We start from the raw sequence: 17601 nt of genomic DNA, 5'->3' as shown, positions 1-17601 counted from the left end.
AACCTGCATGTTGTGCCCATGTACCCTAGAACTTAAAGTATAATAGTAAAAAGAGACTTTAGCCTAGGGAAAATTAATAATAATAATAAAGCAGATGTAGCAAGGATATTTAATATCTTGATTAGAAGCAAGTCAGTGAATTTTTAAAATGACATTCTGAAGTTGTTTACAACCAACATTTATTATTATACTTAGCAAAAAAGAAAGGCAAAAGTTACCAATGCATTATAAGTGTAAGCTATTATCAAAAGCTAAATTACATGCTGCTTATGCCCTACATCAGTGCTTCCCAAACTACAGTACCCTCTAGAATTGCCTACAGGGCTTGTTAAAACATAGACTTCTGCCTGCCAGACACCTTCTTCCCCTTCAAATTTCCGATTCACTAGGTCTGGGGTATATGGTCCAAGAATTTGCATCTCTCGCAAATTCCCTGATGATGCAATGCTGCTGATCTGGGATTGCACTTTAAGAACTCTTGCTCTAAGCTCAGGACAGAGAAACCATTTCTAACTGACATTTTTCTAGGTTTATAAAGAGTTATACCAAACACAACCAAATGTAACAAAAACCAAAATCAAACAAATATATACAGCAAAATTTTTAACTGGCCTCCTTCTCAAGGTCCATTTACGATTTGGTACAATGGTGGTCTGGAGAGTTAAGAAATACATAGGTGCATTCACAAATGCCATCTACATACTCTCAAAGGTAAGTGAAAGCTCAAAAGCTGGAGTCAAGGCTAGTACTAGACAAAATGAAAAGGGAAAAAATATGTGCTCAAATTGTCACATGTTTGTGAAGGAGCATGGTATAAGGGAATTATTACAGCTTTGTTGCCAGGCCATCCAGTCTTTAAGATCTAGGTCTGCCATTTACTAAATATGGAATCTGAGGATTTACCTAACTCTCTGAGGACATTTGTTTGACTGTATCCTGGTTTTCTTAATACCTATTAAAAGTGATGTTGAGAACACTATCAGATAACATATACTAAAATGCCCAGTGCATAGAATATGTTATAATGTCTAGAACTCAGAGAAGGCACCATACATTACTTTAGGGTCCTATTATGTGCAAGGAACTCAATTAGGTTACTTAATCCTTACAAAAGTTTTTTCAGTCATCATCATCATAACCATCATTATTCCTATTTTGCAAACAAAAGAAACAGAACTACAAGATCATCTAGGCAAAAATTCAAAGTCAAACCCACAGTAGTTTCAAGCCAAATGTTTCTACAAATGTTTCTACAAAGTTGAGTTATCTTATACCTCTTATAGTTCCCATTTCAAGTTCCCTGGCAGTTATGAAACAGAGGTTTCATTGCAGAATAACTTCCTCATTTTGTCAATATTCCATGCCTTGCCCTCTTTAGCTTTACTTTTTTCTAAGTAATGATCACTACTTTTATTTATTATTCCATCAGGACCTTGTTGGCAGACCTAATTCAGCAAATGTAAGATGCAGGAAAGTTTATTTTGGGTAACTTATCTCCATTTTTTCTTTCATCATTCCAATAATTCTTTAGTGTTTCTGCTCTTAGATTTGTTCCCAGAGGGAGGGTGGGATCTGACCTTGAACTTCCACAAAATAGATTCTCATCTTCTCTCACTATTTATTCAACACAACAGAGGCTGTTTTATTAAACAGAGGCTGTTTTATTAAACTAGTTTATATTATACTGTCAGTGATATAAAATGGCATAAATGCCTTTTTGAGGACATTTTCATCCTTACCTACACTGCCTTTATGCCAATGATCCTTGCCATCTCTCCCAAAATATTATGTTTGTCAAAGTATCACTCAAATGTCATTTCCTCCACACTTCTTTGCCTTATCCCCAGATTTTTCTTTGCCTCCAAATACCTACAATACTGCAAGTCACTTTTTTGTGTTCTTTGCATGCTTAACTTCCTATATTAGATGCTGCTTGTCTTCTGTTTTCCTCCACTAGATTGTGTTTTTTCTTGTGTGTGAACATTTACTCCCTTATCATTCTTTTGGTGCTCACTTTTAGTTGGGCCCTCTTCAGGTGCTGCAGAGATTGGTGAGAAACCAGAAGTTCACAATCAGTAATGTCAAAAGAAGCTTTGAGAAGCTGGGAGAGGCTGTGGAAAAAAGGTACAGTGTGAACACAGTCTTGAAAAAAGAAAGCTCTCAGGTGTGCAAACAAGAAAGGGTATTCCAGACACATGAAACAGTCTGTAAAAACATATGAAGCCGTGACAGCACATGAGTAAAAAGAGGATTTGTAGAGGGGGCGATACATTTACCTATAGATGGAAGATCCACACAGGAACGCCCCCACTAATCCTATGTGGACATGTTTGGTATCACTAACCCGTCAACGTTCTCCTTCATGCTGAGCTCAGATATGACCCCAGAGCTCTTCTTAATGAAACAGTCCAGGCAACCACTGCTAACCCATTGAAGTTTTCACAAGCTATGAAATCTCTTTACAAAAACACACTAACTAAAATGTATGTGTTTCTATTTGTTAGAATTTCAGTCTACTTGGGGCATATATTTTATAGTAGGTGAAGTTTTAATGTGAATAACTCAAATTAGTTCTCATTGGTGACAGCCTTCTGTGTATATGTAAGTAAGAGAAGGGTAACAAGATGCTAGTGTTGCTGAAGAGAGGGCCAGAGCCTGGAAAAGAGAGGGCCAGAGCCTGGAAAAGAGAGGAAAAAATGATAAAAGGGGAAAAAGACCTGCCTTTCCAGCACTTTGGGAGGCCAAAGCAGGAGGATTGCTTGAGGCCAGGAGTCTGAGACTAGTCTGGGCAACAAAGCCAGACCTTGTCTCTACAAAAAAAAAATTATTCATAGCAGGGTGTGGTGATGCATTGCTATAGTCCCAGCAACTCAGGAAGCTGGGGTGGAAGGACTGCTTGAGCCCAGGAGGTCAAGGCTGCACTGAGTAGTAACCAGGCCACTGTACTCCAGCCTAGGTGACAAAGCAAGACTTTGTCTCAAAATAAGAAAAAAAAAAGTGGGGGGTGGGGAAAGAAAGGGCATGCTGAGTCAAGCTTGGGGAATTCCATTACCTCTTTGCTTCGTATCATTCAGAGGAGTGATAACAAACAAGCCAAGTTAACTAGAGTTGTAGGTAAGCACCTGAAATAACCTTCCTGGGCTCTGTAAGAACTTTACCTTTTGGTAGGTGTTTCAAAATTTTGCTACATTATTCATTTGATTCTGTTTGGTACATATTGCATTGCTCCTGGAATTACATCCCCAAATAAATAACAGTAACGTATATATCTTTACTGTCACAATGTTCACATGCAATATTTCTTAAAGCTCTTTACTGCCTCCAGCCAGTCTTGAGACCTCCCACTCACTCCACTCTTTACAATCTGAGACTACAGAGTTGTATGTGACAGAGATATCCGGTTGTCTTAGTCAGCTCAGGCTGCCATAACAAATATAAACTGGGTGACTTAAAGGACAAGAATTTATTTCTCACAGTTCTAGAACCTGGGAAATCCAAGATTGAGGTACCATCCCACTTGGTACCGCAGTGAGGGCTCTCTTCCTGGCTTGCAGATGGCTGCCTTCTTGCGGGTACCATCCCACTTGGTAGCCCAGTGAGTGCTCTCTTCCTGGCTTGCAGATGGCTGCCTTCTTGCTGGTACCATCCCACTTTTTACCCCAGGGAGGGCTCTCTTCCTGGCTTGCAGATGACTGCCTTCTCGCTGAGTCCTCACAAGGCAGGGAGAGGGAGGGTTCTGGTCTTTTCCTCTTCTTATAAAGATACTAATTCCATCATGGTGGCCCCATCCTCATAACTTCCTCTGAACCTAATTCCTTCCAAAAGGCCATATCTCCAAATACCATCACATTGATGGTTAGGGCTTCAACATATGAAATTTGGGGAGGAAGGGAAACAAACATTCAGCCCATAACACCTGACAGTATTAACTTAGCTTTATAAGGCATTCGTAAGTTATTGAAGTCCTTAGACATTGTTTACAAGTTACTCCCCAGAGAGCTGCTGAGAAATGAATCAGCATTATTATGGCCTTTTAAAGATAGGGAAAAGAAGGTCAAGTGTGGTGGCTCACGCCTGTAATCCCAGTACTTCAGGAGCTTGAAGCAGGAAGGTCCCTTGAGCCCAGAAGTTAAAGACTAGCCTGGGCAACGTGGCAAGACTCTATCTCTACAAAATATTTTAAAATTAGCCAGGTGTGATGGTGCACACTTGTGGTCCCAGCTACTTAGAAGGCTGAGGCAAGAGGATCCCTTGAGCCCAGGAAATTGAGGCTGCAATGAGCCTTGTTTGCACCACTGCACACCAGCCTGGGTGACAGTGAGAGACCCTATCTCAAAAAATAATAATAAGAGGGGAAAAAAGCCCTCAAATTTAGCAGGTTATATTCTGAAGGGCTCACAATCAATAGCAGAGTCTTTCTACAACTAATGTCTCTTTTGCGTTTTGGTCATGAGCATTGTGATTGACCAACAGAACCTAATAAAATAATGTTATTTTCTTAGTTATCTTAAAATTTTATTAAATCTCCACAATATGCTAGATGCTGCATGGATTACAAATCTGACATATATTAAGATGAATAAGTGACAAAATATGCCAAATGTATAATGGCCCATATTTATCATACATATTTAATGTGTTTTATATTTTGATTTGGGTGTTCAGACATAGTAAGATATTCACATTATGCTCTTTATCCTTATTTTGCTCTGTTCCCCAACCTGCCAGGTGACCATAGGAACCATAGCCAATGACAAAGATGCCATACTGTCTACTTTGAGGCCTTAGGCTTCTTGGTGCACCACTAAGAACCTCTCTAACTCCTCTTCAGTGCCCAGTTCTGTGGTTTTATCATAGCAATTGGTAGATTAATAAATTTTTAAAGTAAACTTTATTTATAATGACAGAAAATGCATTTGAATATATAGTATCTATATATATATACATGCACACAAACATTGTAAATGTATAGAAAAATCCTGAAAGGTTAAAAAAATGCTTTTAGAATATTTAACTTTTTTAGTAAATAATTTCAAATGTACAGAAAAGTTGGAAGCAGGAATACAAAAATAATGAAATACATGCCTTTTACTCAGATTCACTTATTAAAATTTTGCACCATTTGCTTTATTATCTCTCTTTTTCTGCCTGAACCATTTGAGGGTAAGTTATATAAATCATGGTCCTTTACCCCAAACTTTTCAGGATGTATTTCCTAACAATCATAATCATCTCTTACATAACTACAGTACAGGTGTCAACTTAAATAAATTCCACATTATATCATAGTGTTAAACATCATGCTTTAATCTACTATCTGAATTCCAGTTTTGTCAATTGACCCAAGAGTATCTTTTATAGATTTTTTTCATCTTCCAGCTCACAGGTCCAATTTACTACTGCATTTAGTTGTCATGCCTTTTTAGCCTCCTCTAATCTTGACTATATTTTCAGCATCTTTTGTCTTTTATAACATTGGCGTTTTTTAAGAATATAGACCCCCCCTTATGTTAATACAGCATTCCTCATTTGGGTTTTGTTCAATATTTCCTCATTATTAAAGTCAGGTTATGCATTCACAGCTGGAATCCTACGTAGGTGATATTGTATCCTCACAGGACACCTCATCTAGAGACACACAATGTCCATCTACCACTCATTGATGGTGTTAATTTTGATCACCTACCTAGTCAGGGTATTCTTCAGTTTCTCCAATATGTAATTATTATTTTTTCTCTTCCAACTAATAAGAAATCTGTGGGGAGATACTTTGAACCCATGGAGATATCCTGCTCCTCATCAAATTTTCTTCCTTGATTTAGTGTAAGTTGATGAGTCTTACCTTGATCCAGTCAGTGCCACGATGGTTGCTGAATGATGATTTACAACTCAGTTTGCCTTTCACATTCACCAGTCAGTACTTACTCAGCATTTTGTTCTCAAGCAAGAGTCCTCTCTTCTCTCCATTTATTTGTTTATTTTTTTAATCACCATGACTCTCTAGCCTCCTATATTTTCAATGGCCTATAAGTCATTACTGTTCCTAATTATGTTAAACAAACTTTTAATAGTGGTTATCTCTGGTGAGTGGGATTTGGAGAAAGGCTTTGAAAGGAAGATTTTCACTTTTTATAAACTCTTTACTTTTTTTTTTTTTTTTTTGAGACAGAGTCTCACTCTGTCACCCAGGCTGGAGTGCAGTGGCACAATCTCTTCTCACTGCAACCTCTGCCTCCTGGGTTCAAGCGATTCTTCTGCCTCAGCCTCCCGAGTGGCCGGGATTACAGGCGTGTGCCACCACGCCCAGCTAATTTTGTATTTTTAGTAGAGACGGGGTTTCACCATGTTGGCCAGGCTGGTCTCAAACTGCTGACCTCATGATCCACCCACCTCGGCCTCCCAAAGTGCTGGGATTACAGGCGTGAGCCACTGCGCCCAGCCAAACTCTTTACTTTTTAAGCTTTTCACAATAGCGCATATCCCTCCCTCTGTTTAAAAAATTGAATGAAAAAATTTAAAAATGGTAAAAGAAAGTATTTCCCCAGGGACACTGTAGAGGCAGAAGGAAGTAATAGGAAATCAGCCTTGAGACAGTGGACACTGTTAATACCTGTCTCTTTTTTAAGATATGCACATAAGAAAGGCAAATTTTTGGAGTTACACTGATGACTCATGACCTGTAAACTAATCTTCTTGTGATCAGCTGGCTGGGTGTACATATTAACTAGTTAGAATTAGCTCTGTAGTGTGGGGCTTAACACGTGGTAGATACTAAATTAACTGTCACCAAGACATCTACACTTATTACAGAACTTGATATGGTTTCAAGAAAATAATGAGGACATGAATCTTTACAAAATGAGATATCCATGAATTGTCAAATTATTTTATTTTCTTTAAATGAAATTAAATCAAATCCAACCTGTCACTCAACCAGGCTGACAAAAAGATATAATTTAATATTATATTTCAGTGTTGTTCTACCCCATTTTCATAATCAATTCACATATCTCTATAAAGAAAATTTACACCTATTTTGTTGTCCTCTTCACAGCATACAAAAAGAAACCATTTTTTTTAGCCTGAATGAGAGATGTTTCAAAGACAGGAACCATCAGAAAAATCAGTGGCTGGATGGAGGGGCGATAAGTTCCCCGAGTTCCTCAAGAGCTGAATATGTGAGCTGAGCACAGGGGACATTTCTTGCCTGTGCCTTTCAGAAACTGAGTCTTCTTGGAAATTTTTCTTTCTTCCAGAACAGTTCCAAATCCACTTATTGAGAGGGCTACTCAGAGTCTTTATTAGTCTCAGAGAACTTGGAGTCTCAGATAATGGAGTAGCCATGTGGGGCTTACACAGAGATATGAGGTTTTTTTAATTGGTGGGAAACAGTGAGTTACTCATTCAAACCAAATCTTCAGTCAAGCCTCTTCATCCTTGAAGCCATTCCATTTCTCCTTTCCCCCTGACCCTTGGGTCATAGTCCCCTGCTCACATCCATCCATGTTTGGGAAAAGAATGAGAGGGTGGTCCCACTCTCCTTGCTCTTCATCCATTACCAGGTGAAGGTTTAGACTGTACTTTCCTCTCTCAAATTTCCAGTTTATTATTGTCTAAAAATCTTTCCCAAGCACAACCAGTTCTCTGTAAGAGAGAAAGTACCTGGTAAGAGCTGGTTCACTTTTCCCAGTTCCTAAGCACAGTGTGTGAGTCAAGCAAAAGAGGTGTCAATTGCATGTGGCTTCTACTGAGACAAGAGTGGCCCCACTGGAACTCCCCCTCTTAAAGAACCCCAAAACACACTCAGCTTTTTCATCAAAGCACTAATTGTGTGGTTAGTTGTGAGCACATAAATTTTCCTCAAAAGCACAATAAAAGAAGGGTGATTGCACACCCCTAAACTCTAAACACCTATCTTATAAATGTGTCCCTTCTGATGATGAGGATAAGCACACATTTACTGGGTATTTTGGTTGTGACAAGTATTATTCTAAGCACTTTATGCACTTTGTCTCATTTAATTATCACAACAACCTTACTATTTTTTAAGAGCTGGGGTCTTGCTCTGTCACTGACACTGGAGTCTAGTGGTGCCATCAAAGCTCACTGCAGCCTTGAACTCCTAGGCTCAAGTGATCTTCCTGCCTCAGCCTCCCGAGTAGCTAGGACTACAGATGTGCGTCACTGCACAGCGAATTTCTTTTCTTCTTTATTTTGTAGAGTCAGGGTTCTATTATGTTGCCCAGGCTGCTCTCAAATTTCTTGGCTTCAAGTGATCCTCCCACCTCAGCCTCCCAAAGTATTGAAATTACAGGCATAAGGCACCATGCTCGGCAAGAGGTACTATCATTATTATTTCATTTTACTGATGAAGAAACTGAAGAAAAGAAATGGAAATTTTTCCAAAGTTGCACAGCTTGTAAAACTGAAACCCAGGACATATGACTTCAAATCTCCATTATCCAGTCATCCATTTTGCCTGGGACTAAGGCATTTCCCAGGATGTGGGACTTTCGGTGCTAAAATTTCAAAATGATACTGGTAGAGCTAGTGTCGCTATGGGGCCAGTCTCTTTGAGGTCCCAGGCTCTCTCCAGGTGCCTCAGGCCACCACATTAATGGTAGGTTAAAGTCTGTGACAATTCAGTGGGGGTACCAGCAGCATCCAAGCATTCACAGAAGTTGATTCTCTGGTGAGAACGAGAGAAGCGTATCCAGTGTGGATATGCAGGGGCCCCAGTTACCTAAAACTTTGAAAAGTAGCATTCAGACATTTTAATTGCCACCTTAATTCCCCATCAACTCTCTCCTGGGCCTTGGGCCAATCCACAGAAAAGGATCTATTTGCCTGCACCCTGTCTCCTGCTATGGAAGGAAACAGTTTCTTTTACCAGATTCACTAGTTGAGAGAAGTTTGGCAAAGGGATTGAGTACAGTCAGATTAGGCTTTGCAGACAGAAGGACGCTCAGCTTTGCTCCTGCCCATACCAGGGCTGAATGGGCCAGCTAACCTTACTATGAATATAGTCAGCTTCCCCGAGCTTTCTGGCAACATTTGGGATGTTTACCTACAATCTTCTCTGGTTTTAAGAACCCAGAACCAGCTGTCAAGTATCTTGAACTAGTCTCAGAAACACATGACTTGAGAGCAGTAGTGGCTTCCTGAGGTTGACATCCCCAGAAGTTCCAGAGGTCATCTTCCTTTCTCAGCTACCTGCAACCTCATTATTGAGCCTTAATCAAGATAGAAATGTCTTCTCTCTTGGGATGGAAATTGTGTCTCCTAAAAACACTCTCGGTTTCTGGTAGGTAATCATCTCCAACTTAATCTAAGTGGCATTTCCAGGTTCTGTCATCTGTCCCATCATGTTAAACCATGTGTCAGATGGCATGTCCAAGTTTGAGGAAATGATGTTTGCCTTGTGCCCAGGATTCTGAAAACATAACGCCACCACCTTAGAGCAGAAGTTTAATTTTTAACAGTCCATTCTGAAATGATGGTCTTATAGTCAGGCCCCCAAAAAGTACTCTCCAGGTAATGCTAAACACCAGAACAGGATTGTATTTACCCTCATTTAATTTCTTTATCTTCTGCTGGACAATCTTATATGTGTAATTGTGTAGTAACTTTCAAACAGTCTCACCATGGTCTGCTAGACACATATCACTAGGGACTTGTGAAAGTGCACACCCAAATCTATACCAGAGTCACAGCTAGGCTGACCAGTCATCCAGTTTGCCTGGGACTAAGGCATTTCCCAGGATGTGGGACTTTCGGTGCTAAAATTTCAAAATGATTTGGCTTCAGTGTTAAGAGTTGTAATCTACCCATGGCTCCGATATGGACCACACAAATACTTTGGTAATTCCAGTGGCAGGGGGGCCGGGGGGAAGGCATATATAAGAGACATGAATCGTAGTCCACATATTTGGGTGTGGTGGGAAAAAAAGTCATATCATGTATCAGTCAGGGCCCTGGCAGGAAAAAGCATGATAAAAGGCAATTAATTGAGATTTTTAACAACAACGACAACAAAATACCGTAAAATGTGTAGGTAGGATTAGGGGAAATCAACCAGGAATGGTGAAGCACCCTCAGGGAAGCTTATAAAGATCCTAGGGTTTGAGAGTGCAGAGAGGAAATTGTTTCCAGAACCCAACCCAGACTAGACGGGGCCGCCAGACGGTATTTGCTGCCTTCAGGAAAGGGACTCTGAAGAGAGGGATCCTTGGAAATAAATATCCCAAGTCACTCCATTCTCTTCTTCTGCAGTGCCCTCCAATGATTGGACCCAGCTGGAAGCCAGAGCAAAGAAGCCTGTAGAAGCTGTTCAAAGTGGTTCATTCTCTGGGGCACAGAGCAGGGAGAAAAATGGTAAAGAATGGATGTCGGAGACAAAAAAAAAAAAAAAAAATCAGCCGACATTATTTTCTTTCACTTAAAATTAATTTTGTTTGGGGGAATCCATCCCAAATCCATCCCCTCCTCGTCACGTCCATCCCATCTTCAATAGAGCATGCTGTTTAGTCTTTAATCTAGATTCTGACCACTTACTGCTGAGATGAACGCTGTCCAGCTTGCAGGAATGCCCAAGTCCAGTGGTTCTGTGGCTCTGCACCACAGTGTTCATGGGAATCTTTGCTAGAATTGAGAGCCTTGAGGAACAGGGTGCTACTCAAATGTGCCTACTATGAAGATATCCTCCACATTTCAAAGTCCTTCCAGGCAGCACCAGAGGGAACAGCCACAGTCCCAGTTACACAGAGGAGCTTACTGTTTTTTCCCCAGGCTTGAGACTCTTCTTAACCTGAATTCTGCTTTCGCATATCTTCCTTCAGACACTAACTCTTTTCCCCTTCCACTCTGAATTTCCTGGCATAATTTCTCCAGTGGGCTTGGATTCTCACAAAATTAAGAGGGCGGTTGGGTGGGGGGGTCTTCTGGAAGCAGCTTCTGCTTTCAGTCCTGCAAACTACCAACTGCCAAAAACTTAGCTTTCTGGAATAAGGAAAAAGAAAATCACGGAAACAAATCCAGTTAGTCAGAATTCTCTCTGACTCTTCTATTGCAACATAAATAACATGCAATTTAATTTACATAATCAAGTTGGAAATTTAAATGGAGTTGGGGTAGCATAGCAGAAGGGGAAATTTATGTTAATTCTAGCTTGTATGTAAGATAGAAACAAGAAAAAATATACACATAAAAAATCAATGTATATAAAAATAGAAAAACAGCCCTAGCCTTGTCACTTGTCTCACTCCACACACATCCTTTCCCCTCCACTCTTTGCCTCCATATTTCTGAGCCTCGGAGCTTGACAGAGATGGAGGGAGACAGGAGGATTAAGGTAAGCGTATAATGATGTAGCTTCCCCTATAATTTTTAAACAAACTCGCCTCTCTGAACGTGTACTTAATTACTTTCCAGAACTGATAGTCTCACATAATCCGCATGGATAAGGACAAGAGGAATGAATGTCAGTATAGAGTTGAGGAGATGGTCCTGACTTTGGACCCTGATGAGTCTCAGTTTGAATCCCTATTTTATGACCTACTAGCTTTATGATCTTAAGCAAATCTAGTAACCATTCTGAGTTTTGGTTTCCTCATCTGTAAAATTATGATAACACCAAACTTGCTGAGCTGGTGTAAAGATTAGAAATGATAAATACAAGGTCCCCGTTTAGTACGCAGACCATGGTAGGTACCAGATGAAGAGTGCTTCCTGTTCATATTCAAGTAATTGTGCCACCTTCAAAACCACAGAATACAACAAACCAGAGAAAGGCCTGAGAAGTTGATGGATTAAAAAAATGAACTGGCCAAGTGTTGTGGCTCAAGCCTGTAATCCAGCAGTTTGGGAGGCTGAGGCAGGAGGCTGAGGTAGGAGGATCACTTGAGGCCAGGAGTTTGAGCAACATAGCAACATGGTTGTATTCCCAGCTACTCAGGAGGTTGAGGCAGGAGAGGCAGGATCTCTTAAGCCTGGAAAATGCAGTTTGCAGTGAGTTATGACGGTGCCACTTCATTCCAGCCTGGGTGACAGAGCGAGACCCTGTCTGTAAAGAAAATAAAAAAGTAAAAAAGAAAAATGAACTGGACTGAGAGTTAAGGACAAATGAAATTATAAGAGTCTCTACTCATAAGATATTTTTGTCTCTTCTTTCCAGTTTTTGTTTGCAGGAAATGAGAGGGATCCTCTGATTACCAAATTTACTCTCAACAGGCGTTGGTCCCCATGTGGAGCAAAAGGCATCAGTAACCCCAATCCAGCTTTTTCTCGACAGACTTCTAACTCAAACAGCACTGTGGCCTATTTCTGCAGGTATGTACGGCTTGCTTAAGAGTTCCAGCCATAATAAAGGTCAGGAAAGTGCCAACTAATCTTGAAGGACCAGAATACACTGAGATTGGAAACCAAGAATAAGGTGTGCCCAGTTATACCTGCTGAGCCTTCATAGTGAATCTTATTTCCTAATCTATAAAGAAGAGTTGAGTGATGCAGTGGAGTGTGGATAACCCTCCATAGCAGATTCCTACTCCTGTCAAATCTGGACAGTCAAGTCCTAATTGAGTATATTTTAATGGCCTTTTCACAGACAGCCCAGACTACATCCAACCATTAATCAACTCCCTGCCCACAAAGATTGTAGCTACCTCAAAGGGATACCTCAAAGTCATTTTGTCACATGATGGAATTTCTCACCCTCTCACATTTTGATGCTACCAAACCAAGTTCCTTCTTGGTACAATTTAACTTCTGTTCTTCTGTTTTACACTTATTAGATACATTAAAATAGCTAGTTATACACATCAGTGCAATTCAAATAAAATGGCATTCTTTTATTTTCTTAGGCCCCAGTATGCCTAATGGGTCCTTTTAGACATCAGGTTCCATACTTTGGGGAAATATTTTATATTTCATGGTAGTTATAGGTTATGAATCCTGAATTTGAATAGAAATTCATGAAATTGACATACAGGAGAATGGGAGTAGCCATAGCCAAACAGTACGTGTCTTTACTGGAACATACTTTTTAATATTGTCTTCTATTCTAACATACAGGTTTTTAGCTTAGTGCGTTTTTTTTAGGATGGCCCCCAAAATAATAATAATATATATATATATATAAATCATCACTCAACTCACCAACAACAAAAAAAGTAACCCCCTCAGAAAACAAACCAAACCATTCCAGCTGATCCTTGCAATCTTGTTTTTACAAATTAACCTACCTGAATTTAAGTTTATCCCTTTGATATTTCAAGACTCCTAGTTTTGTTTCTTAATTTTCCATGTAAAATTTCACTGTGGGTACTTCTAGAGTAGTATAGCTTCAAACTCTAAAACATTTATCTTGAAAAACTGTAAAATTGATCTGTCTTTATTAATAAAACCATTCTATTATTGATTACTCTTTTTCATCTTAAATTTAATAAAAAGTCAAAGAGAAGAAAAAGCTGGCTTGAGAGTTAATGTTGCAAATCACTGCAGGTTGCAAAAAAAGAATACAATAGAATAAAAATTATTTTACTAAAACTATTTTAAAACTATATTTTATGATTTAAAGTAAAATATCATTAGGTTGATGTGTTTCTGGAAATTTGCAGCAAGCTGATCTATAAATGGAAATGGTAGTAAAATACATGCTAGTAAAGACATAGGTTCCATGGTCTGAATGTTTGTGTCTCTCCACAATTCATATGTTGAAGCCTAATCACCAAAGCGATGGCATTAGGAGATGGGACCTTTTGGGGGCATTTAGGTCATGAGCACAGGACCTCACCAATAGGATTGGCACCCAAAAGAGACCCAAGGGAGCTTGTTAGCCTTTTTGTCCTTCCACCATGTAAGGACCCACTGAAGGCAACATCTATGAAGAACAGGCCTTCACCAGACACCAAACCTGCTGGTGCCTTGATCTGCAACTTCCCAGCCTCCAAAACTTTAAGCAATGCATTTCTGTTGTTTAGAAAGTACCCAGTCTAAGGTATTTTTCTATAGCACCCCAAACAAATAGTTATCCCATCATAATACTCGTTTTTGCTAAAATTCTGCTCCCTACCATGCCACGCTTACGAAAAGACCAACAGTGATGGATGCAAGGGATTTGGCAAAAGCAAAATAAAAGAAAATAAAAAACTAGAAATATTTTGCTCACAGTACAGTAAAATTTCTGGAGATCTAAACCCTTGAAAGAAGCAGATATTATACTTCTTGTTTATATTTAGTCCATAATGTCAAAATAAATACATATTCAGATATACATTAGCAAATACTACTATTTTGTGGTCGTCTGTGTGTGTGTGTGTGCATGTGCACATGCATTTTTTTGAACATATATATATATATATATATATATATATATATATATATAATTACCTTATCATTTGGAAGTTAAAACTTGGATGGAATTTTAACAAATCTTTCTCTCTTGGAATTTTCTTAGGAACCAGTTTTCTTTCTCCCAAATTTTCTCATTCTCAATTTCTACTCCAAAGTTCCCATGTTAAAGGAACATCAAAATCCAATTAAACAGATGTCTCCAAAAGATGAGTATTTAAATAGATCATTACGGTGAGCCACTAGGGATGCTAATAGAGATCAAATGAAAGTCTGACTAAAAGGAAGAGTTCAATTCAAAGAGAAGAGAAGGAAGAATTTTGAAAAATTCTTTGAAAACTGAAGAAGAGACACATTGGATGATTTTCCTCTCTGTTTGCTGTTTGAGAGTCCCTTTTCCTCTTTGTTTGCTGTTTGAGAGTGCATTTTTAAGAATTATGATATCTACCAAGAAATAAAAGACACTATATCTTCTAGACAAGAATCTAGACTTGACATTCTCTGAGATTTAATTCCTAAACAAGTGAGGACATAAAGGGAGGTGACAAAGAAAGTTAAAAGAATAAAGAAAGCAGATTAAAACAGAAAAAAAGAGAAAAAATAGTATGTGCAAAAAGAGACAGAATAAAGCTTTTTTAGGAAGAAGAGAATATATTTTATTCATTGTTTCAGAACGTTCCAAAATGCTGTAAAATAAAATTGCACACAGCTGTTTGGTTTCCTCTCCAGAGGTCCTAATTGGAAAGATCTGAACATTACCTTCAGTGGCCAGAGAGCCTTGCTTTATTTCTTTTCTTAAGACAGGATCTCACTCTGTCACCCAGGCTAGAGCACAGTGGCATGATCATGGTTCACTGCAGCCTCGACCTCCCGGGCTCAAGTGATCCTCCCACCTCAGCCTCCTGAGTAGCCCTGAGTAGCTGGGACTACAGGCATGCACCACCATGTCCAGCACAGCTAATTTTTGCTGGTTTTTGTTTTGTTTGTTTGTTGTAGAGACGGGGTTTTGCTATGCTGTCCAGGCTGGTCCTGAACTCCTGGGCTCAAGTGACCCACCCGCCTCGGCCTCCCAAAGTGCTGCCTTGCTTTATTTTTGAGGGGACTCAATGCTACAGCATTGACATTTTGTCAATCAGAATTTTATGGTGGCAAGGGCGCTGAATTGGGTATAAGGAGACTCAGGTTTTGGTTCTAGCTTTGCCACTAAATACATAAATTAGTTCGAGAAAGTCAGTTAATCTCTGAACTGCAATTCCTTGTTTTTAAAATGAGTGGGGTTGAGATGGATACATTTCTTTCTAGTTCTTACTTATCAGATAATCTTGTCAAGTTCTTCCACCAAAACTGTACCAATCTCCTAGTCTTTAAACACTAAGAACACATCTAAATAGTTAAGAAAATAAGTAGAAGCAAAACAAATGCAACAAAGTCACTTAGAAGCTGGAACTTTTATATAAAATCAATATATGCTGAAATAATCAGGTTTTTCAAAACTTCTCAGTAATCGCTTGTTTTTTTTTTTCCTCCTGCTTAATAATTTCAGGTCTAGAGGTGCAACATTTTCTGAACTCTAAATCCAGCTTCCCATAGGGGAGAGTAAAGTCACAGCCAATTCCCCACCATATTCTCAGTTCTCTTAATGAAAAGGAAGAAATCCTATAATACATCTTCATTATGGTAGGCCAATATATGTGAAAGTTAAAGAAGAAGCATAGTCCATAAAGGCAGTGGTGACAGGGAATGGATATTGTAAATTCACTTTGTTTACATGCCCTAGAGATCATCAGTGACATCATTATAGAGTTATTCAGAATTATGGCATTATGGTTCATGTAAATTCTTTGGATATTATATGTCACAAAGGAAGCTCAAACCAGCCCAACAGGTAGCATTATCTTGCTGGGTAGCCACAGACTGATGTATGGTCCAGCTTTCAGGCCCAGGACTTTTTCCCAATGGAATCCTGAAGAATTATTCAGGTTAAACTTCTAATTGTCTAGAAGGCTTGTGCTACTCAATATGGTAGTCATCAGCCACACCGAACTCTTTAAATGTGAGTTCAAATTGAGATGTCTTAGAAGTGTAAGATACACACTTTGAAGATAGTACCAAAAAAAAAAAAAAAGAGGAATGTAGAATACATCATTCATGGTTTTACCCTTGATTAAATGTGGAAATAATATATATTTTATATTGATTAAGTTAGGTAAAATCTATTAAAATTAATTTCATCTGTTTTTTACTGTTTTATTGTGGCTGCTTGAAAATTTAAAATTAAATATTTGGTTCACATTTGGGGCTCAAATTATATTTCCAATGGGACAGTATGGGTCTATACCATTAATTCATTCAATACAGGGGCATTCCTGCCTGTTTTGCATGATGTTCTTAGCACCAAATTGCAATGATTAATAAATGTGCTGAATGCATTACTACTGAGTGCCAAACAGAGCGTGATAACCAAGGTCCACTCTCCCCCTGAACATTGCTGGAGACATCCTGAAATACCTTTACTCTCTTATTCTTGCACTTTTTTGTTCCAAACTGACCATTTCCCTCATGTTCTTTTTTGTATCAATTAAGTTGAGATTAATACTTCACTGTTTTCCAGTTTCAAATATGCTAATACACAAAGCTTCCTTATTTTAAGCTCCAGTCCCTTGAATAACTTGAATTCTCCTCAATCTCCTTAGTCAATTAATTGCATTTTCTTCCTTAGGGTGATATGCTGGATAGCCTCCTGTCAATTTAGCATCAACTTTAGCTTCTTCAAATGCAGAGACTACATTTCCCAGAATCTCCCTCCCGGCCTGTATATTTCCAAGTTGGAATCTAACAATGAGAGCCTTTCGCTCAAAGTTTAGAAGGAAGAAGAGAAGACCATTATATACCAGAGTCAGTTATAGAAAGATGCATCGGCATCAAAGCTGCTTCCAGATGAACTTCTTGAGGACTTACTGCATCGGTGTTGCTGACTGAGATAGCAGGTGCAGGAGTAAAGCTAATGAAGTTTAAATTTCAGGGCTCCTGTCTTGCACGGACCCTTTCGAAGACTCTGGGAGCAGTCCTAGCATTTTAGTATTCATAACTTTATTTTATCTCAAAAAGGGCTCTCTAAATTGTATTAGTTTTAAGCATCACAAAACCTGAATCCAGCCCTGAATTGCTGAGAACTTCCGAAAGATCTTGTGGCTCCAGTGGCTTCAGGAGAACTCCTGAGAACCACTGTCTTGGGGACTGGAGGCTGAGATCTTC

The 17601-nt window shown here is 39.1% G+C and overlaps 1 long non-coding RNA gene across 1 annotated transcript, besides 1 other annotated feature; it reads left to right on the top strand.

Moving 5' to 3' along the window:
* Positions 1-2021: 2021 nt before the first annotated feature.
* Positions 2022-17153, top strand: LOC112268104 (uncharacterized). The gene is made up of 4 exons (XR_002957443.2): positions 2022-2124; positions 10273-10374; positions 12173-12327; positions 17066-17153. It is a non-coding gene; the product is annotated as an uncharacterized LOC112268104 (long non-coding RNA).
* Positions 2927-3076: an enhancer, noted in NCBI's record as "active region_5963". NCBI's record gives its function as "activates an Ori minimal core promoter by ATAC-STARR-seq in GM12878 lymphoblastoid cells {active_cell/tissue: GM12878}" and the evidence as "EXISTENCE:reporter gene assay evidence [ECO:0000049][PMID:35858748]".
* Positions 17154-17601: the final 448 nt, after the last annotated feature.

The sequence above is a fragment of the Homo sapiens genome, chromosome 12 (genome assembly GCF_000001405.40).
Source record: "Homo sapiens chromosome 12, GRCh38.p14 Primary Assembly".
NCBI lineage: Eukaryota > Metazoa > Chordata > Mammalia > Primates > Hominidae > Homo > Homo sapiens.
This window is presented reverse-complemented; position numbering and strand designations above follow the sequence as displayed.